This window comes from Homo sapiens, chromosome 6 (assembly GCF_000001405.40).
Source record: "Homo sapiens chromosome 6, GRCh38.p14 Primary Assembly".
Lineage (NCBI taxonomy): Eukaryota > Metazoa > Chordata > Mammalia > Primates > Hominidae > Homo > Homo sapiens.
This window is the reverse complement of record NC_000006.12, coordinates 135,386,310-135,410,389: the sequence shown is the minus strand read 5'-3', so window position 1 is coordinate 135,410,389 and position 24,080 is coordinate 135,386,310. Positions and strand designations below refer to the sequence as shown.

The window sequence follows — 24,080 nt, the reverse complement described above, 5'->3', positions numbered from 1 at the left end:
TTTTGTTTTGTTTTAATTTAGAGACAGGGTCTCACTTTGTGGCCCAGGTTGGAATGCAGTGGTGTGATCATTGCTCACTGCAGTCTCGAACGCCTGGGCTCAAGCAATTCTCCTGCCTCTGACTCTTGAGTAGCTGGGACTGTAGGCACACACCACCAGGCCTGGCTAATTAAAAAAATTTTTTTTGTAGAGACAGGGTCTTGGTATGTAGCCCAGGCTGGTCTCCAACTCCTAGCCTCAAGCAGTCAGCAGTGCTCTTGCCTCAGCCTCCCAGAGTATTGGGATTTCAGGCATGAGCCATTATGGGGATTGTAGTATTTCTTACCTTACAGGATTTTTAAGATTCAGTAAGACCCTAAAAGTAAACCTCTTAACAGGGTGTCTGATACATAGTGCCACTGATAAATGTTAGTTATTATTGTTGATAATGAGAGAAGAGATGAATATGAGATAGATTGTGCATATAGTTGATCAGTGTTGTTAAAGAAGAGACCAGCATGTGTGAAAAGAGATAACAAAGATCAAATACAAAAGGCCTTCCTGTGCTAAAGTCCCAAAATCTATAAAATGAAAGTATCTATTACCAGACCAATTAATGAAAAGATGCCAGTATCTTAGAAATATCCTAGTGAAATCGCTTGATTTTTAAAGATTTCTTAAAGAAAAATCATAGATATAATGGGGGGGAGAAAAAAAGACTGGTTATCTACATAGGAACTAAGCTACCTTCGAACTTCTCCATGAGAGCCAAAGTAATAATGAAGCTGAAATAATACTAGTAGTATAATTGAAATTCACTAAGATAGAAAGATAAATCAGTGGGGAAAGGAAGAATTGTTCCCTTGTATGGTGTTGGGAAACCTTGTTAACTATGAGTTAACTGAAAAATACAGTCCATTTACATATATATCTTAGGTCACTCACCTAAATCAAATTCTCATTTACCAAGGAGTTAAATATGAAAATCCAGATCTTTTTAAAAACTAGGGAAATACACTTGCAATTATTTCTCAAATGAATGAAAACATACTAATTTTAAAAGCAGTGGAAGATCCTCTCCCAAAATATTAATAGATTATTGACATAGAATTTTAAATTTCTCTGTTTAAAAATATAAGGATGTGTATATTTGTGTGTATATACAAAACATACAAACACACACATATATGTGCAACAAACACCAGCCTGGGGAAATGTTTATATAAAATGTATTAAAGAAACAGCCCTTTTAACATGCAAATAATTAAACAGTGAAGAAAAATAGTAAATCTTTAACAAAGAAATGAGTGAAAGAAATAAACTGTTCTTCTAAAAGGAGGAGATAGAAATGTTTCATAGGCATATTTTAAAAGTTCTATCTCACTACTCATAAGAAAAGTACCACATAAACCAGGTATTTCCCATAAAATTGGAAAATAGATCATGAAAATGATGAGGAGGAAGATGCTTTGTTAAAGGTAGTGTAGCATTCTGTTAGTGAAAATTCCTAGAAAATTTTTCTCAAAGATAAATGGTCAAATGTAGTAAGAAGCCTAAGCATCCTGAGAAATATCTTTGACCATACTTCTAGTAGAATTAAGTGGAAGTCCTTTTATTAGAATTACTTTGAGCTCCTTGAAGACAGGGGCTGTGCACCCTTGTTCATTGTTTTATTCTTACCTTCTTTAATAAATGTTATCCCTTTTCTTGCTTCCTTGATAGATATCTTGATTAGTTTTAAACTATACAAGGAACTACATTGAGACAGCTTTAGTTCTGACTATGCTCTCTTCCTCTCTCTTCTTTCTAAAGTTAGAGACTTGAAGGTGTATCAGGATGCAGATTACATTCCATCTCTGGGTTTAGATTTAACCTAAACCCAGAATAAATGTAGGAATATAGAAAAGTATATATATTTCTTAGTTAACTTTTAGAATATATAACTATAAATTAATAAATTTATTTCAATATTGCAGTTCTTTGTATTTTAACATTTTTAATATAATCAAATAATGCATGCTGTTCCAGATTTTAAAAGGAAGTCTGAATAGATACATTGAGCTTTAAAGATGAAGAGAAACATATTTCTTCACTAGGAAAAAAAAGAAAATGTGTTCCTTGTCTAAAAACTTGCATGGCAAAGTAACTTCATCTACAGGCATAAAAACAACTCACCAACAGATTTATAAAAACAAGTTTCCTACAGTCTATCCGTCTTTATTCTGTAAAACTTAACATCCTGGAATCAACTAAGTCTTGTAGCTTTTTTCTAATTTCATTTTATATACCTGTCATCCTCAGATAAATGAAAGGATGTAAGAACTAAAGAAAGTAGATGTAAAGGAAAAATAAAATCAGAAATTTTTTTTTTTTTTTGAGACGGAATCTCACTCTGTCGCCCAGGCTGGAGTACAGTGGCACGATCTCAGCTCACTGCAAGCTCTGCCTCCTGGGTTCACGCCATTCTCCTGCCTCAGCCTCCCGAGTAGCTGGGACTACAGGTGCCCGCCACCACGCCCGATTAATTTTTTTTTGTATTTTTAGTAGGCTTTTTGTATTTTTAGTAGAGACGGGGTTTCACCGTGTTAGCCAGGATGATCTCGATCTCCTGACCTTGTGATCCGCCCACCTCGGCCTCCCAAAGTGCTGGGATTACAGGCATGAGCCACTGTGCCCGGCAGAAAAATGTTTTTTAAGAAATGAAATCAAACGCAAGAGAGAAGCAAATTGATAATTTATTATAAAAAAATTTACTTTGAATTATTACTTTATTTAGCTTTTAGCATATCATTTCTTTTTAAAATTATTTAGAGAATATGTCTGCTTTGGTATTGAGGTAGATAGAAGCTGCCTTTGGAAATGAAAGTTTTGCTTTGGTTTTTAAAAACCATTATTTTTCCTTTGTTGAGAGAATTCACTGAATTTATTTTTCTGATGCTATCTGCAATGTATTTTCTTTCAGAATGTACATAGTATGTATGGGAATAAAAACAAAGTGTCGTCTTTATTCCCATGGCAGCCTCATTCTATATTGTGCAAACATTTAGGTTGACTGAATTCCCACCTTTTGTCATTATGCCTTTTCTCGTTTCTTGCCATTTATTTCAGTAGACCCCAAATTCCTTTTTTTATTTATTTTTTATTACAATAGGAATGTTTTTCTAATAAATTATGGTACAGGTTTAGGGTGTAATTTTTGTGGGGTATGTGTGAGTGAATTGCATAATAAATTCAGTTCAGCAGGTATATAATAGGTGTTTAGGCATTAATGAGTAAAAGATACAAAAAATAGATAATTGTCGGTTATTGGGAGCATTACCATTTAGTCATAATATAAATCACTTAATTATTTCATAATTAGCATACTTGACTGCATGTTGCTGCCACAGCAATACCTAACAGCATTCTGCAACCCAGGTAAGACTTCACGGGTATCTTGAGAGCGTTGGTAAATCTCATTCTAAGTTTTCAGATCCAGAAATTTGATTTTATCAGTGCATCCAGGGTTGCTCAGAATCTGTAGTATCTATTAAGATTAATCAATCCTACAAAAAGTTGATTAACAAATGAGAATCCATGAAAATACACCTTATAATATAATAAAAGGTAGACCATTCTGGCAGCCTGAACACTCAAGATCTCATCCTGTCTAAATTTAACCTGAAGCCCAGGCTAATGATCACAGAGTTGATTGCTAAGTAGAGCCATAGGAGTATGGATTGAATGGGTTCGAAAATGTTTTATGCCAATTTTGAAAAAAGATTAATTTTCTCTACCCCACAGGAGATACCACCGTATATATTGATTAATGATAACTAACATCTGCTTAATTATTAGTAATAATTGATATATTTCTGGCACTGTGCTAAAGGCTTTACATTTTATTGTATTTAATTCTCAAACCATCCTATAGGGTTGAGTATTATTCCCATTTTCCAGAAGAGGATTTTGAGGCTTACAGAGATCAAGCCACATAACCAAGATCACACAAGTAGTAAGCACTGGAGCTGGGATTCAGCCCAGGTAGTTGGACTCCCATGTCCACAGTCAGTTTAACTGTCTCCTTTTAGTGACTGAATTACTGATACGCTTTAGATACAGTATCTGGCTCTTAGAAATTTATAGATAAAAAAATTAATAGGTATTCCAGATTTTGAGCAACTGTGGATGCACTGATAAAATCAAATTTCTGGATCTAAAAACTTAGAATGAGATATACCGATGTTCTCAAGGTACTGTCCACCTGTGAGGTCTTACCTAGGTTGCAGAATGCTTTTAGGTATTGCTGTGGCAGCAACATGCAGTCAAGTATGCTGATAAATAATTAAATGATTTATATTATGACTAAATGGTAATGCTCCCAATAACTGAGAAGTATCTATTTTTTTCAGTTCTTTTTTTTCCTAAACTCCATGTTGATTATGACCATTTTTCACTAGCACTGTACTAGGCTGATGCTATATGCTGGCTAACTCCTAATTGGACTGGACTTGAGTATTTTTTTTTCTTTTTCTTTTTCTTTTTCTTTTTTTTTTCTTTTTTTTTTTTTTTGAGTTGGAGTCTCACTCTGTCGCCCAGGCTGGAGTGCAGTGGCGCAATCTTGGCTCACTACAACCTCCACCTCCCAGATTCAAGTGATTCTCCTGCCTCAGCCTCCCGAGTAGCTGGGACTACAGGTACGCGCCACAACGCCTAGCTGATTTTTGTATTTTTAGTAGAGATGGGGTTTCACCACGTTGGCCCAGGATGGTCTCGATCTCTTGACCTCGTGATCTGCCTGCCTCGGCCTCCCAAAGTGCTGGGATTACAAGGCGTGAGCCACCGTACCCGGCCAGACTTGAGTATTTTTACTCTCTCCTTAGCAGCAGATTTTCAAATTGTCCATAATACATCGACTTTTACTAGTTTCTCTTTCAAAATGATCTTTTCTTGGCCGTGTACCATGAATTGTACAGAGTTCCTTTCTGTAGCTCTTTCAATAATAGTCATATATTTTATCATTTAGTAGTATTTACTATTTAATATTAGATTTCATCTGATACAAATAATATGGGAATGATAGTTATGGCTATTATTATTTATAGAGATAATTATATATTGCATTTAACTCAGCATGTGTCTTTTACACCTGTTAGTGTTCTAGTATAGAATTTTATTCTATTGATTGAAGAGCAAGTTTTTCTTGAGGCAGATAACCTGTGAGCCCTCGGGAGTTTCACAGTGCCATTTGTTTGGGCAAGTTAGATTTACCTTGAACATGTCATTAAGTCTCTTTCATTGGAAACAATGCAGAGTGACAACGGCAGGATAATGGATAAAGAAACTTCCAAATGCTGATTTAGGTTATTAGAAGATAAACATCTGAGTGTTTTGCAAACAGTCAATATTTAATGAAATTATGAATACTTCCTTATTTTATTGTATTTCTTTTAGGAGGTGATACGTTCCTGTGCTGCAAAAGTAAGTAGTTTTTATTACCAGGAAGATAACTTCAAAGGTATAGTGATGCTCCAAAGAACTGGAATGCACCATTCATAGAGTTTGGAACCTTTATAAGAGTTAATCTGATGTGTACTTTCATTATTGGAGCTCAGCTTTATCACAGAATTACAATACTGGAAGCTGATAATTTAGTAAGGGTGATCATTTAGCAAGTAGCTTCACATTTTTAAAGATTTAAGAATACTAAGTGATGGAGATACTTTCAGTAAAGGATCAACAAGGTCATGTCATTCTCTGAGAAAAATTTTATATGATATTTAATTTGTATAAGACACCGGTCAATATAGTTCCAGTAGGTATATGCTGAGTAAACTGTATAAGCATTGAAATGCATGCAAGCTGTACATAAATGATTTATTGTACTGATAATGCTCTCCTTCATTTATAAGTCTTTCACATTTCTTTTCTCATTTAACTATACTGTATAATAATCCTGAGAGATGGATTAGATATAATTGTTATTCCAATTTTAGAAAGGAGGAGACTGAAGTTTATTCAGGTTGAGTGATTTGCCCAAGGTCCCAAGTTAGTCTAAAAATGGTAGTGTACAAAAAGGCTCTCGATTAGTAAACAATTTCAACTAAATTGTATCTTATATGCTTTCAACACAGCAGCTTTCCTCTTTTACAAGCAAGGTTATTTTATGTGTAACTTTTAATTTAGGTGTTGGGAAAATAAGGAGTTGGAATGGCAACATGAGTTCATCCTTCCCTCTTCTGTCCACTCCCAAAATTCAGTTGAATAATTAGACGTCTATTCATTTAACAAATATAATTACATATCACAAAGAGAAGGTAAAACATCCAGAAGGAAAGAATTAGAATGTTAGTATATTTAGAGACTGCTTCATATAATGTCAGTGCAATGGAATTTTTTTTTTTTTTTAATTCAGTGGGCACCTACTACCATTTGGTAGTAGGCACTTGGAATGCAATAGGCTATTGTCGCTTTCCTGATGGGGCATGTTAGGGAGGGAGGAACATGTCAGAAAATACAAGACTTACCCCATCACTGAGCTGTCCAGCATCAGTCACAGAACCCATCACTTTTATACCTAATTATCACAAGTCAACAGGATATGGAATATAGACAAGGGGAAGGAAGACGAGGGGGGAAAAGAGAACAAGCTATATTCTGACTTGTACTGCAGATGTTCAGGAAACGTTCCTGATAGCAATGATTGGTGTAATGATTGTAGCTCCAAGATTACTAAACCTTCTGAAGTACTCATTGTGTATAAAATCAGAGGCAAAAATACAATTTATTTTCTGACTAGCAATTCAAAGCTATTTCTCTTTATTTAACAAATGTACTGCATACTCTTCTTTTGGAATGCTGTCTGAATGTCCAGAGAATAAAGTGTCCTGCACAGATTGAGCAAGGCTTTATGGAGAACAGCCTCTACTAATCTGGAAACTCCCCAAGGGTGAAGGATCATGCCATTCATCTTCATATCCCTAGTATTTAATAAAGGTAGAATAAATACTCATTGAAAAAATGATTAATTTGGAAATGAATCAGTGTCTGGAAAAATTAACCTTACTAGTATCTTCAGTTATTCTTTTTTTATAATAGTTTTATTGAGCTATAATTTATATACCGTAATGCCCACTCTTTTAAAATATACAGTTCACTGGTTTTTACCATATTCACAAAGTTTTGCAGCCATCCCTACTATCTGATTTTAGAGTTTTTCATCACCCCTGAATGAAGCCCCATATCTCTTAGCAGTCATTCCCAATTCCTACACATACACACTCCAAATACAAACTCTTGGAACATACCCCAAATTCCTGGCAGCCATTAATATGCTTTATAGATTTGTCTAATCTGAACATTTCATATAAATGGAGTCAGATGGTATGTAGTCATTTATAACTGACTTCTTTTACTCAAAATAACGTTTTCAGGATTCCTCTATTTGTAACATATATCAGTGAACAACACAGGGATTAGGGGGACCAACCACCTGTGCAGTCAAAAATTAATGTATAACTTTTGACTCCCCAAAAAAATAAGTACTCATCGCCTGCTGTTGACTGGAAGCCTTACTGATAATGTAAACAGTTAACACATATTTTATGTGTTATGTGTATTATATACTATATTCTTAAAGTAAGCCAGAGAACAGAAAATGTTATTAAGAAAATTAAAAGGAAGAGGATGTACATTTACTATTCATTAAGCAAAGTGAATCATCATAGAGGTCTTCCTTTGTCTTCACATTGAATAGCCTGAGGAGGAAAATGAGGGTTTGGTCTTGCTATTTCACTGGGGGCAGAGGCAGAAGAGGTGGAGAAGTGGGAAGGGGAGGCAGGAGAGGCAGGCACTCTTGGTGTAACTTACTGAAAAAAAATCCACCTATAGGTGGACCTGCACAGTTCAAACTCATGTTGTTCAAGGGTCAACTGCACTACTTTTTATTGCCAAATAAGATTTCATTGTATGAATAGGTTACGTATTGTTATATTTGATCAGTTTATGAACATTTGGGTTGTTTCTACTTTTTAGCTATTAAGATAATACTCCTACAAACATTGTGTGTATAAGTTTTGGTGTGGATATATATTCTCATTTCTATGGGATATGTATCTAGGAGTGGAACTGTTGGGTAATATGGTAACTATGTTTGACACTTTGAAGAACTCCCAAAACTTTTTCCAGAGCATGTGAACCATTTTCGAATTCCACCAGCAGTGTACGAATGAGGTTCCAGTTTCTTCTCATCCTCACCAACACTTGTATTCTCTTCTTTATAGCCATCCTAGTGGGTGAAAAGTGGTTATATCATAGTGATTTTGATTTGTGTTTTCTTTATGACTAATGATGTTGAGCGTTTTTTATATGCCATTTGTACTTTTTTTTCTGGAGAAATGTCTGTTTAAATATTTCACCTGGTTTTAAAATTGGGATTTTTTGTCTTTTTATTGTTTACTTTTAAGTTCTTTATATATTCTAGATACAAGTGTCTTATGAGTTAGATGATTTGCAAATATTTTATCCCATTTTGTGGATTGTCTTTTCACTTTCTTAATGATGTCTTTTGAAACAAAAAGGTTTTTTTATGAGGTTCAGTTTATTTTTTCTTTTGTCACTTGTGCTTTTTGTGTTGTAATAAAAAACCATTTTCTAGCCTTGTGTCACAAAGATTTACTCCTATGTTTTCTTCTTAAGATTTTTATAGTTTTAAATCTTACATTCAGGTCTGTGATTATTTTGCATTAATTTTTGTATATGGTATGATGGATAGGTCCACTTTCATTCTATTGCATGAGGCTATCCAGTTGTCTCAGCACTACTTATTGAAAAGAGTGCTTTGCCCTTTGACTGGTGTTGGCACCCTTGTCAAAAATCTTTAATCTTAACAACAGAGTGTATTTATGCAGTTTATCATCTATTAGATCTAGGATAATAAATTTTTCCCAAGTGTCCGTTACATAAGTTTTTGCCCTTCTACAGTATTTTTATATTGTTGAAGGCTCGCTTGTTTTTTCCATTAGCATTCTTTAAGCAAGTATTTATTGAGTATCTACCAAGTATTTTTCTAAGTGCTTGGAATGTAATAGTGAACAAGAACCTTTTATTGTAGAGAGACACATAATCTTAAAAGGAAACAAATAAGGTAGTTTCAGATAATAAGTGATGTGAAGAAAATAAAATAGGTTCATGGGACAAAGAATGACTGGGAAGGGAAGCTACTCTCAAGAGGATGGTCATAGAAGGCCTTGCTGAGAGAAACACTTAACAAGGAGCTAGTCATGTCCTGCAAAAATCCTCATCTAGGAAGAAAACTGGCATGCTCAAAGAGCAGAAAGAAGACCACTTTGCTTAAGTAGTGTAGTGAGCAAGCAAGGGGAAACAATTGTAAACCAAAAAGTATCTGAGACAGGTCTCAACAATTTAGAAGTTTATTTTGCTGAGGTTAAGGATAGGACCCAGAAGAAAAAACAAGAATCACAGACACAGTCTGTGGGTCTGCCTTTCTCCAAAGATGATTTTGGGGGCTTCAATATTTAAAGGGAAAAAAACAGGCTGGAGGAGAAAAGAAAGGTATGGTCACATTACTGAATCCTCAAGTTGCAAGAGAAAAGATGCATGTAGGGGGATAGTCAATTATGTATTCATCTCACACTCAGTAAATTGACACTTTTCAAAAGATAAGGTGAACATGAAAGCTACCTGCGGAGATATTTAACCTTTTATCTGTAGCTATCTGCTTATGAATAAAAAGAAAAGGAACTCTTTGAATGACTTAGCTTTCAGCTTAATTTTTTTCTTTTTGACATTAGATTATAAATTACCTCAGGGAGGAATAACACACACTCTCTTTTTCTGTCTCTTTAAATTTTACATAATAACTGCTTTCGCTTCTAATCTTTATGTATCTGTCCCTCCACACACCTCTGTAAGCTTCTTGAAGCCAGGAAACTTCATCTTTTTTTTTTTTGAAGTATTACATCACCTACCCTAGATGAATATAAATTCAGCCAAGTTGAAGTTTATTGAGTTATGTTTAGTGGAAGAGTGCTGTAAAGGTAAAGTGGTAATGTATATTGTAGTCGAATCCACCTCGGAACATATTATTCACTGAAAACATTTTTTTAAAGGTTCAGAAAATAGAGAATCCAGAGAAAATATTTTTTTAATTTTTCTGTTTAAAACGTATATTTGGATATTTTTGAGATTTGAGTAGAATAGTGTTTTTCAATTATTTGGAAAGGTTTTTTTAAAAAATAATTTTTAAAAACATAATTATTTTTTCGTGGCATTCCAAAACTGGATAACTGCAAATTAAGATGAGAACTTACAAACACAAAAAGGAAACAACAGACACTGAGGTCTACTTGAGGGCAAAGGGTGGGAGGAGAGAGAGGAGCAGAAAAGATAACTATTGGGGACTGGACTTAATACCCGTGTGATGTAATAATCCATACAAGTCCCTGTGACACGAGTTTACCTGTGCAAGCTTCACATGCACCCCTGGACCTAAAAGAAGAGTTTTTAAAAAAAGATTTATTATGTTGGCACTATTTGGAAGACTGGCTTAACTGGAAGAGTAGTACAAACTATAGTAATCTATATGTGGAGCGTGGTGAGCAATCTAGTATGAGTCCCAGCTTTCTGGCCTTGGCAAGTAGGTGGAGAATGATGGCTTTCCCTAAGAAAGTAAACAGTGGGGCAAAGGTTAGTTTAGTTTTGAACTTAATGATCAGGAGATGTGTTTTAGATTTAAGAAACATCAGCATTAGAAGGCAGATGAATTGATGAAAACAAATGTTTCTGCCCAGTGTAATTATGTGACGTGAAGGAAGAAGAGGAGCTCAGCGGATCTAACAAATAGCACTGATGAGGAATGGCTGGACATAGCAGGATAACCAAGAGAAGATGGCTCCCCAGAAACAAAGATAGAAGGATAGAGGCCTAAGTGAATCTGCTGAATTTGATCATTTGAAGTCCAGGGTTACCATAAGTCCAATTTAGTTTTATCATGGAGACAAGCTTTGTTGTACCCGGTTGAAGACTGAAGGATTCAGATATATGGATTGCAGTTGTGTGCTGTTTTTCAAGGAGTTTAGCTTTTAACGAAGCTTAAGGAAGTAACGGAATCAGAGGGAGAGTTTTAGTTGGTTTGTTTCCTCTTTGTTTTTGTACTAAAATAGAAGGGTCTATGCTTCTAACCTGCAGGGAAATAGCCAGTAGGAATTCGAAAGTAGAATTTTTCGTTTTGAAGCAGGGTCTTCCCTGTCACCCAAGCTGAGTGCAGTAGCATCATCACAGCTCAATGCAGCCTCGACCTTCTGGACTTAAGCAGTTCTCCTGCCTCAGCCTCCTGGGTAGCTGAGACCACAGGTGTGCACTGCCACGCCCAGCTAATTTTTTATTTTTTTGTAGAGATGAGGTCTCACTGTGTTGCCCAGGCTGGTCTTGAACTCTTGGACTCAAGTGATCCTCCTGCCTCAGCCTCCCAAATTGCTGGGATTATAAGCATTAGTCGTTGGGCCTGGCCTGAAGGTAGAATTTGGAAGAGCTTTAAGGATAACCCTAAGGGGACTGAGGGATGAATCTTGAACAGAATGCTCCTCTTCCTCTAACCCTAGAAGTAAAGACATAAGGATAGGTGGGAGAGGTCCATTCTTTCATAAGTTTGGAAATGAGAAGTTCAGGGGTTCAAGACCAAATTTTCTCTGTGAAGCAAGGCAGTGAACTAAGAGAGAAAAGGAGGTAAAGGTTTTGAGAAAACCAAGATGCATTGAGGTAAATTGCTTTACCCTAAAGAATATTGCTGGATAATTGGTTTGAGCCAGGACTAGATCTTAATTTTGAAATTGACATGAAAGTGTCATATCAGTAATCTGTGAACCACCAGTCCTTGGTACCTATCAGAGGGTCAAAAATCACGATTAAATATAACCAAAAAACTTTATAGTGACTGATTCAAATTTGAATACTGGTTTTAGCTAATGTAGTAGTAATGAACTGGTTTGGGGGTAAGATTTTTCTGGTATCTTATTGCTGTAGAAATTTTTCTTTAACAGTTACAGTGTTGTCTTCCAAATCCTTCACTTCTCTGTCCTGGCTTGTAAAGAAAACATCTGAGGACTGAGGGGTCATATTTGAATTGCTCTTTATAATACCATAGACTACTCATTGCTTAGACTTTACTAAGCTAGAAATCACAAGAGCATAAGCTACTCTTAAAATTTATATTATGAGAATGTAAAAGATACCTGACTTCAAATATCTTGAACCTCACTTTGGCTCAAGTTTTCTGTTTAACTTTTTCTTTAATACTGATATTTTAATTTTTACAACAGATACATGATTTGCAAAAAAAAAAAAAAAAAAAAAACATCCTGGGTATTATTGGTTTCTTTTTTTCTAATGCCACCAGAACTGCCATCAGATTAAAATATTATCTGCATTATTATTCATATTAGTGGAAAAATATGACAGCTGTCTGGGAGAGAGATGAATTTGTGAACTTTTAAGTATACAGACAGCATTAACATTCTTTCGGTTATAATTTAAAACCAACTTGAGATATGATATCATCACAGCTTGAAACTTCATAAACAATTCTTCAGGTGAATGTAGCGTGTTATCTAAAATTAGCTAAAAGGGTAGACTTGTAAGTATACATGGAAATGAGTACTATATATCTCCCAAAGGTTTTAAATTTTAACTAATCACTAAAAGAGAAACTAATTGTCAGCTTGCTTAATATTGTGCATTCAATTTCATGTTCAGAGCAGCAAGTTTTTTAACATGAAAATTAACCCCCGTCTAGAGAATTAGTATTTGCATATTTTGCTTGTCTGCTTATACCCTAAAAGAGTAGGCAAAACAGTTTTATGATTAACTTGGCAGAAGTTCCAGATGATTTTTTTTCTTTATTATGAATTTCATTAAATTTTTATGCTTTTAGTTTTCTCCAATATGGAGGTATTAAACTGACTTTGGCAGACTGTGGTTTTTGCATGAAGCAAACAGAAAAGGGTGTTGTGAAAAGAGGGTAGATTGGTGTAGGGTAGACTATCTTAACCAACCTTTCTGTTGTTGTAAAATTATTAAGCAATTCTTTTCCGCAGCACATATTTCAAAAATAGATATTGCTTCACTCTATTTAATGGTTATTATTATTTTTCTTCCTCTAAATGGAATAATAAATATGTACGAGCTTGCTTTGAAAATGATTTGAGTTCTAATTTCAAAACAAATATCTAATAATAACAGTAATAATTAACAGTTACCCCAAACTTTAGAAATTATCTGCTCTGTTACGTTGCTGCTCTCATCACTTTATGGACATTTGAATAGTCTGTAAAAAACTATGTCAAGAAAGATCAGAATTATAAAAATGTTTAGGAAGAACATATAATTATAGATTACAGGTTTTTTAAAAAAAAATTTTGTTGTAAAAGAATGACAAGTCTTTCTGTTTGAACAGAGGCATTTAAGTATCCTATTTTAACTTTCCAGGTATTTTTTGTTTTTAACACAAATTTCTGAAGAAGAAGACTATAAATGGCTATTGTGTGTATCTATAGATATATCTATATCTATAGATATGGATATATGTAGGTGTGTGTGTGTGCAAAGATGTGTGTGTATATAGATATATCTTCATTTCTCCAGCATACACCTGTTTGTTTGCACCAGATTTTTAAATGCATTACTTGATTTTAAGATAAAAATTTTCAGGAAGTAAAACTGAGAAATGATTCCAAAAAGAAGTGAATTAAATAGTTAAGTGATAAATATGTTCTTTTCCATTTGAAAGCACAGAACTCTGAAAAATTGGCTACATCATCATATGACATCATAAATACCTAATTACCCTTACTTCTAGTGATGTTAATAATAACTAATATAACACCTTATTTGTATACTACTTTATGGTTTGCCCTTGCCAAGATATTCTATTTAATCTATTTCTTATTTAATGTTCATTAGTGCTTTATGGTTAACATATGAATAGCACTTTATGATACCCGTTCATCATTATTGCTTTCCTGGCACATTCGCATTGAAGTATAGATATTATTTTTCTTATCTCCATTTAAAGATGGAAAGTGAAGCTCAAAGATATCAAATGAGTTTGTTGTTTTAGGTATTGTATCACTATAACTGGTCAGTTTTGATCTGTATTTAATGGATTTTGATAGAATTTTTAAAGCTGGGTGATATTTTAGGACTGATGTGGTATTTGACCCCCCCAACTACTTTGGAAAATACTTTTATTTTTTATTGAGATGACATAATAGTTTAGTTACTTTAAAACCATATTAACATATGGTCTTAATTGACTTTTTCACTGAATTTGCTAACTCTGCTCTAAGAGAAAAACCTAAACTAAGATATACTGTTTATTATCACTGTTTAAAAGCAAAAAATAGAAAAAAAAATTTACAAACATGTAAATAATGAATCAGATAAAGGGCATGTAACAAGAGCCCAGTATTGTCTTATACAGAACATCAAAAGGAAAATTTTAAATGCTTGCACAGTAGAAGTCCTCTGTATGGTTTTCATTATTTAACAAAAAAATGGGAAAGGGGCTGTTTTAATATAGTAATATTTATATGCCATAAATTATCATTTTGTTTATTTACAGATTACATTTTTGAAGTGAATTAGGAATCAGACTGTCAATTTCTCCAAAATAGATCACATTTTATTGTGCTTTTTGAAAGTAATGAAAAAGATTAAATGATTGATTTGTTAATAATGAAAAAAAGATAGATTTTTTTTCTGAAACGAATTCTGATTTACAAGATGAATTTGCCTATAAACATTTCAAGCTTTTTCAGTGAACTATTTATTTTCCTACAAGAGCTATAGTTAAAATGTTGTGTTTATTATGCATTTCATTTCTGTGAGGCTAGTGTGCACTCAGATAATCATACTAGGTTTTGTATGTTATAGAACATTGTATTTACTTACAGAAATTTTCCTTCTTATTTTAATGATATTTTTAAACAGTATCCTGAGTAAGGTGTTTTGATGCAATGGATACTATTTCACATGGCAAGCTAGGTTACAGCTGTGTTATCTGTGTCACCATGATGTATATAAACATGAGTAGTACAGGTGTTTTCTGTGTATCTCTGAAAAGGAAGTACTTGCTATTTCACTAAAATGCTAGGGAAATGTGAATATGAAACATTTTTACCCTTCCTTAATTGAACCAGTCAAGGAGTCATTTTTATTTCTTGCATTACTTTGCATAACTTAAGACCACTCTAAGTTATTAATAATGTCAAGTCCATGGTAAACTTCAGTAAGGCTGATTTATTTTCATATAGCTATGTTCTAATTACTATTATATTTTTTTCTTGATGAAAATGATTCTCTTTTGTAAAGTTTACAAACTAACCATGTACATCATTACCACTCCTTTTGACCTATCATGTGTCCTGGTTTGTATAATAAGCAAATATTTCTCATCCAGTTTTTGCATTAGTAATCCAGGAAATTACACTGTAGTTTCTGATTTGTTTTCCTAATACAGGTCAACAAAAATCTCTCATTTACTTCACCACCAGCAGTTTCCTCACAACAGTCTAAGTTAAAGCAGTCAAACATGCTGACCGCTCAAGAGATTCTACATCAGTTTGGTTTCACTCAGACCGGTGAGCCCCTTTCTTACTTTGACAATTCTTTTAAATGTTCAGATGCTTGTTGTGTTGATGAATATCACTTATTTCTTTAGAAATAAAGCTCATAATGGTCGGTTTTTACACTTGACAAATTATATTCTAGCATCTCTTTTGTCCTTAAAATCACCAAGGTTATTTCAAAAGTAAGTTTGGAATTGGTAACAGTAGATACACTGAACCTATGTGCTATTAACAGATAATAATTTAAAACTAGCAAAACACGTGAGTTTTAAACCTGCATGATGTTAAATCTGATTCAGTTTCCCAATTAGATAAAGAACCCATCATAGATGGATAATCCCATGTTATAATTCATTTCAAGGAAAGCCAAGGTAAAATACATTTTGGCAGAAATAGGATGTAACCTGTAGTGATATCACATCCCATTAAAGGGCAAATTAACAAAATATGCAAAAAAGCTTGTTACATAACTATACTGAATCACTGAAGTGAACTATACAATTGTTTTGGCAAATATTTTAAATGAGTTTCAATAAGGTTTTTAAAGGATGTCAAAGGAAAAACATCTAAGTGAGAAATGTTTTTGTGGTATTGAAAGATGACTTTTTCTGTTCATTAGCTATATGTTTTTGACAGTATTTTTTCTATTACTGAATTCTTTTAGAAAGGTAAGAAAGCTGAAAATAACAATTATCTTTTACAAAAATTATATGAAAAAGAAAATTTGCGTATGAGAAGATCAGCATAATTTACTTAGAAATTTGAGGACAATATATACCACTTTTTTACCTTGAAAGTATTTGGAACTTACATATACAAGTTATTTTAATATTGCTGTATAGGTTACATGTTATAGTGAGAAAATGCTTGGATTCACAACTCTTATGCTCAACCCTGGCTGTGCCTTTTATAACCCTTATTACCTGCAAACCTTAGACTCTTCATTTGAAAACTGAAAATGATATTTATATTATATATTGTTGAAGTTTAAATGAGATTGCACATATGAAAACACTATAAGCATAAGGTGCTATGTGAATATAACATATTTATATTGTAAACATGATGAATATGTGTAAGCTAACTTTGAACTACTTTGAAATCTAATTTCAAGTCACTATAATAATTAATAACAGTTATCTCAAACCTTAGAAATGTTTAATTTCTAGTGTTCCAGATATCTGCCAGAAACTAAAGTAATAGTGTGGGCTATTGTTATTTCCAGTGGAGCTGCGTCATGTACTACTTCTTTAGATTATTCTTTTCGCCCTAAATAGATACTTGGCTTGGCTTCAGACCTTGTCATTCTTATAACTAGGAGGGAGGGAACCTCTCTCCACCACTCTATCCCTACCAGCTGTCTGGGAACAAACTTTTCATTCCACAATTCAGGATTAAGAGCTTAGAAGGTAAATATCTGGTTGAGTTAATATATTGTTTAAAATTCATTTAAGCAGTATCTTATGTCTGTCTGCCAACAAGATATAGATAATACATACAAATTTTTTTTTCATTTTTTGTAAAGGGAAAGAGCAGAGGGAATAGGTAGGAAGGCCTTTGAAATGGGAAGAAGGATTACCACTGAGACAAATTAAAGGGAAAGAGGGATATGATAAAGGCAAGCCTTTCAGACTTCACAATTATATATAGGATTGGCTCCATTTCGCTTCAGTTTCCATGGCCATGTAGGCCATAAGAGGGATATTTATATCCCTGCACATACTATCTCAGAAGCATGACCATTAAGCCATTTGGTTACTAATATGTCTAACCTCATTTTAAGGCGTATCTTTCTTAGAAATGTCATTGAGATATCACTGAACAGAAAAATTTCAAAAGCATAATATGTGGTCCATCTCAAAATGGCCAAATTAATCTCTTTTATTAAGAAGCCAGTGTTTATGAAAAAAAATCCTGCCTTAGGAACCAGGTGAGCTAGTTTTCAGACCTAACTCTATTTCTAAACATGGAATCTTGAGCAGTTTCTTCAGGCCAGAGTTTTCTCATCCCTCCAAATAAATGAGGGCTCTGGCTATGGTGAGTTTCTGCTTTAAAAATTCTGTGATTCTATTCAGTGTTCAAATCAGTTTGTAAAGTGGATAAATAATTAAGTGTTGATTGTACGAATAATCTATTAGAATCTGAAATACATGACTACAAAAACAAATCATGTAAATAGAATGTTTAAAAATAAAAATCTCACTGAAAACCTATCTGAAATATACAAGTCACATCTGTCGATATTTGCCTTTGGACAGTATAAAAGAAAGCTATTTACACAGAGCTAGTAAGTATGAGCCCATTAGCGCTCATGCTAGGAGACTTAAGAGTAGGGGTTGATTTTATATATATGTAAGTGGGTTTACATGCTAGAGTGCTAGACTCTGCAGTGGGTTTATGTTCTGTTGTAACTTTTATTGATCTTTTTCAAGGTGAGTTCTAGGTAACGGAGACTGCTAGAAAAGTAAGCATTTCTCTCTTCTTTGATTTGTATTCCTCACAATTTCTAGAATGCTTCATTTATTCATTCTAAAATCATTTTAAGTGACCACCTTGTTTAAGGCCATCTATTTAGCATGTGGAGTAAATGTTACAGTCTCTGCCTTCAGGAACCTCTAGTCTGGCTAGGGAGACAAATAAGTATGCACCAAATTAAGTCAGAATGTGACAAATTCTGAAATCACAGTGTAAACAAAGTGTCACCAGAATAAAGAGGAATAGGAGAGCTAAAATATTCTCAAACTTTATGTGTTCCAATGGAACTCTTGGGTTTTTTGCCCCAAAAACCCTTCCCTCCACCTCCACTTCCCCTACTACCAAGTTTTCCTAATCCCAGTATTCCACAGCACCATTCACCCAGTTGTTTAGAGATAACTAGGAGCCACTCGTGATTACTCCTTTTCTCTCGACTTTCCTCTTTCCCACTTGCCCATGCTGTATTTGGAGTTCAGCCAATCTTTCTCCCCAACTGCAAAATCCCATTGCAGTAGTCCCTGTACCTACTGCAGTAGCCCTGAATAAAGTCTTTCTTACTGTGCTTTAACAAGTATCATTGAATAATTTTTTTTTAACAATACTTAGAAGAGAGCTTGGTATGGCTGGGGAGTGGTTTGAGTCTTGGTTTGACTGGAAAAGGTGAGATGAATGTGTTTAAGGCGAACTAAGTTTGCAGAGGTAGATTGGGTCAAATCATACCGCACTGAGGAATTCACATTTTATTCCCTAGATCAGGGGTCCTGACCCCCGACCCACACGCCTAGGTGCACAGCAGGAGGTGAGTGGTAGAGCTGGGAGCATTACTGTATGAACTCCGCCTCCTGTCAGATCAGTGACATCATTAGATTCTACTGTGAACGGCACACGTAGGGATCTAGGTTGTGAGCTCCTTATGAGAATCTAATGCCTGATCTGAGGTGGAATAGTTTCATCCCAAAACCGTTCACCTTTCCTCATCCCCTGCCCCCAAGTCCATGGAAAAATTGTCTTCCATGAACCTGGTCCCTGGTGCCAAAAAAGTTGGGTACTGCTGCTCTAGGTAAAAGAATTATCCAAGGAATGAATATGAAAGGGATTCTAAAATGTATTTTTTTCTTTGAATACAGCTGGCATCTATGTGAGTAATAGGTTACTTGTATCCAGAAAAGCTGGATACAGCTCCTATGAGATGCTTATTTTAGGAACTGTTCATTAAGCTATTAGTCTAAGTTCTTAACAAATCAGATAATCCTATAAAAATTAAAACTATAACATCTTCCCTGAGTAATTTTTAGAAGAAAAAAATTACAATTTTAACATTTTTTGTTTAATTTTAGGGCATAGCCCATCTAAATGCCTTACCATGTAGTAAACATCTTATATTGTATCTCAAAACTGTTTCCATGCTTTTCTAGTGTAATGAAGAAAATCTATGAAACAATAACAGCAACTTGCATTTGTATGAAAATTTATAAAGTGCTTTCATATATATCCTTATTTGATCTTCAACAAAACTCTCTGAAAAGTAGAGTAAACATGAAAATCATAGGGAGTGAAATCATTTTAGAGCTTCTGGGACCTCAAAACTTTTATTACTCAATTTCTGTACAGTGAAACCGAGAATCAGAGAGGCTGACATGTTAGAATTCACATAGCTAGTGGCAGTCATGTCTAGCTCAGTACTTCTTATCCTCACCATACCAAACTGCCTATTCCTAGACGACGGTACATGTTTAGGGAGATGAAGTGGGCTCCCTGCTCACAGCCCTCAGGGAGACTGTCTAGAGCCACTCCTTCATTCGTTGTCCTGCCACATTGCTAAGTGGGCCCTCTGGCTATGAGTATTACCTTCTTTTTTTTACTAGCTTTAGAGTTCTAAGATATATTGCAAAGTAATAATATAAACAGTATAACTCTTTGGAAAAGGTGTGGTTTTTGAGACTGAGGTGTCAAGGAGGACATCCTATTTCCTGAGGATTAATGAACTTACATCTTTCTTTAACCTTTAAATATAATTATGTTTGTCAATTGTTAGACTTTTTTAAGGCTTGGTTTCCAGTAATTATGGTATGTAGTCTCCAGTCCAAACAACAGGCTCTGTACAGAGAAGTTTTATTCTATGTTATTTTATCTGAATCAAGATCACACTCAACCATCTCAAGAGTCCCTACTATAGAAGAGGGGTGTCCAATCTTTTGGCTTCCCAGGGCCACATTGGAAGAAGACTTGTCTTGGGCCGCACATAAGATACGCTAATACTAACGATTGCTCATGAGTTTAAAAAAAATAAAATAAAAAAAACACAAAAAAACTCATAATATTTAAAGAAAATTTATGAATTTATGTTGAGCCACATTCAAAGTCATCATGTGGCCCATGGGTTGGACAAGCTTGCTGTAAAACTAAGTTTTAAAATGTGGATTATTCAGTAATAAAAATCACTGTTATGGGTAGGTAGGGGAGAGAAATTAGCAGGAAGTGTTACTACTGGCAATGTGGTAGTTGTATCATCTTTGCATGTTTATATTTGAAGGACAGCATATTTCATTTTTATGGACTTTGTATATATTTTCACAGCATTGCTCTAAATTAAATTTAATTCATATTAAATCGATAAGTCGAGTCAAACAAAAGAAAATGAATCATTTTATTAATATGACTTTATTCATGCACTCTTCATATTATCTTTATTAATTGTAAACTTACAGTGTGGTGATAGGGATGACATGATTTTTTAAAACTATGAATAGCTTCTGCCTTCTCCAAATTTTATTTGTGTTCTCCGTTAGACCTTGTAAAACTATGTTAAACTTGATAACCAACCATTTAATCGAATGTTTTGCCATATCCTATTTTCCTTCACAGTGAAAATATTTGATTTAAACAAGATCATAAAATTATTCAGTGACTGTGGTATTGGTTAAGAGATCTGTCAAGCTAACTCTTGTGCATCGACATGTTGAATAATATTTGAAGAACTGTATTTTTTTTTTTTTTTTTTTTTTAGACAGAGTCTTGCTCTGTCACCCAGGCTGGTGCAGTGGCACGATCTCGGCTCACTGCAAGCTCTGCCTCCCGGGTTCACTCCATTCTCCTGCCTCAGCCTCCCGAGTAGCTGGGACTACAGGTGCCCGCCACCATGCCTGGCTAATTTTTTGTGTTTTTTAGTAGAGACAGGGTTTCACCATGTTAGCCAGGATGGTCTCGATATCCTGACCTCGTGATCCGCCCACCTTGGCCTCCCAAAGTGCTGGGATTACAGGTATGAGCCACTGCACTTGGCCGTATTTTTTGTTTTTTAACACGGAACCTCACTCTTGTCACCCAGGCTGGAGTGCAGTGGCGCGGTCTCAGCTCGCTGTAACCTCCGCCTCTCAGATTCCAGTGATACTCGTGCCTCAGCCTCCTGAGTAGCTGGGATTGCAGGCGCCTGCCACCATGCCTAGCTAATTTTTGTATTTTTAGTAGAGACGGGGTTTCACCGTGTTGACCAGGCTGGTCTTGAACTCCTGACCTCAAGTGATCCGCCCATCTCAGCCTCCCAAAGTGCTGGGATTACAGGCATGAGCCACTGCATCTGGTCGAAGAACTGCATTTTTTCATTCATTTTGTGTGTCTTTGAAAGTATATACTTACATTCCCTTGACCAGCTCTTAAAATTGAGAGTCATTGTTCCAGTTAAATTTTTTACTGTTTTTAAGATTTTGGTATATTGAAGTTTTAATTTTTTATAGAGAAATGTAAAACTTTTTAGACAACTGAAATGTGAAATGAATCCTGGATCATAATTTCACCAGAGATTCTGTGATATTCTTGTATAAGCCATTGTAGAAGGTAGATTACATCTAAGCTGGAAGCATGATGATTCTTGTATTTCAAAGAAAAAACATTTTGGCAAAAATTAATAATTAGAATGACTCTCAATAAACACAGCTGATGGTATAAGGGGGTTTCCATTTTAAGGAAGGTAAAATGAGCTTCAAAGACTTTCTCATCTCGTCAGAATTGGCAGAGCTTTCTGTTAGTATTACTTCATGAACTTTAAACTGTTAATTGAAAAAGAATGTTTGATTTAATTCTGGTTTCAGACTTTCAAAATTCCAGTGTTTCAGGTGGTACAATAGGTAAAAGGCATTAATTCACTATTGTAGATTAATAGGTAATCTACAAAATTAACTGATTTCTATAGGCAGATGCCCTTAAATGTCTTTTATGGTACTAAAAAGAATCAAAAATGTTTTTATTATGCAGTTTTTAACGACAAGAATTTGTTTTCCAGACAGTCACTTTGCTGAATTCAACACATGTATATTATGGTGGAAAAAGCACTAGACTCAGGGTCAGCCAGCCAGAAGAACTGAGCCGACCTGGGATCCCACCACTTCCTAACTGTTTTGTTAGGTAGTTCACTTTCTCTCTTCGGATAAATGTCTCCACATTTCCTACTTCATAGAATTGTCAGAATCAACACAATACATTTAATACTTTGAAACTCATAAAATATTGGGAGAATAAACAGTATGAGGTTATGGGAGGCTTTTTTGATTTTTTTTTTTAGTTTGAAATTATACAGTTTGTTTTATTGCCAAAAGAGTGGAAGATATTTTAAGATACAACTTAATAAAATTTGTTAAGTGATGATTATAGGAAAAGGAACATGTCAAAGAGACAAATAATGGATATAGTATTTTTAGAAGCATGCCAAAAAAGGCATTAAGATGAAGTAATTTCAAGAAGAAAGTTGTCAAGCATCTTAAACTTGAGTAATCCACTAGAACACTTAACTTTCCAAACTTTAGCTTTCTACACGAGTACCACCCTTAAGCCGTCTTTGGCATGTAATGAGATAACATTGAGATTTTAAGATGATTAAAATCAAAGTATTCTCTCATCTGTGTAATCTGGCCAAAATCTACAGGGCATGGGTTCGGTTGGGGGACAATCCTTTATTCCACAGACATTAAAATAGAACAAAAGCAACAACAGAACTCCATTTGCTAGCCTCTGTTTCTCTTAGAATTTGACCATCTCTAAGAACATAATCCCCAGAGGTATCAAAAAATCTTGAGATACTTCATATAATTCCATTTTGCAACCTGTAGTTTTTCCTCTCTTAAGAAAATGCTTTTCAACAAGGTGCTGTGTCTCATGCCTGTAATCCCAGCACTTTTGGGAGGCTGAGGTGTAAGATCACTTGAGCTCAGGAGTTTGAGACCAGCTTGGGCAACATGACGAAGCTCTGTCTACAGAAAATACAAAATAGTTAGCCAGGTGTAGTGGCATGTGCCTATAGTCCCAGCTGCTCAAGAGGCTGAAATGGCAGGATCACTTGAGCCTGGAGGTCGAGACAGAGCAAGACCCTGTCTCAAAAAGAAAAAAGAAAAAAGGCCAGGTGGGGTGGCTCATGCCTTATGATCCCCTTGGGAGGCCGAGGTGGGCCAATCAGCTGAGGTCAGGAGTTCAAGACCAGCCTGGCCAACATGATGAAACCCTGTCTCTACTAAAATTACAAAAATTAGCCAGGCATGGTGGTGGGCGCCTGTAATCCCAGCTACTCGGGAGGCTTAGACAGGTGAATCACTTGAACCTGGGAGGCGGAAGTTGCAGTGAGCTGAGACCACGCCATTGCACTCCAGCCTGGATGACAAGAGCAAAACTCCGTCTCAAAAAAAACAAAAAAAGAAAAGAAAAAACACTTTTCTAGGCCAGGCACGGTGGCTCACACCTGTAATCCCAGCACTTTGGGAGGCCGAGGCAGGCGGATCACAAGGTCAGGAGATCGAGACCATCCTGGCTAACACGGTGAAACCCCGTCTCTACTAAAAATATAAAAAATTAGCTGGGCACGGTGGCAGGTGCCTGTAGTCCCAGCTACTTGGGAGGCTGAGGCAGGAGAATGGTGTGAACCCGGGAGGCGGAGCTTGCAGTGAGCCGAGATCATGCCACTGCACTCCAGCCTGGGCGGAAGAGCGAGACTCCGTCTCAAAAAAGAAAAAAAAAAAC

General features: G+C 35.1%; 1 protein-coding gene across 22 annotated transcripts in view; it reads left to right on the top strand.

Annotated features, from left to right (window-relative positions):
* The window catches only part of AHI1 (Abelson helper integration site 1), a 214,209-nt gene that overhangs the window by 87,351 nt on the left and 102,778 nt on the right, over nucleotides 1–24,080 (top strand). For 18 of the 22 annotated variants that reach the window (XR_001743480.3, XR_007059277.1, XR_007059276.1 and 15 more), the window contains 2 exons: nucleotides 5,413–5,439; nucleotides 15,494–15,614. Coding sequence is in view for 19 of the 22 variants with exons in the window: in XM_047418943.1 (XP_047274899.1) it covers nucleotides 5,413–5,439; nucleotides 15,494–15,614 (148 nt within the window). In the remaining 3 variants the exon portion in view is untranslated. Of the gene's footprint in view, nucleotides 1–5,412; nucleotides 5,440–15,493; nucleotides 15,615–22,356; nucleotides 22,607–24,080 lie in introns of those variants that run through there. The other 4 variants (XM_047418945.1, NM_001134832.2, XM_017010984.3 and 1 more) reach the window with 1 other exon arrangement.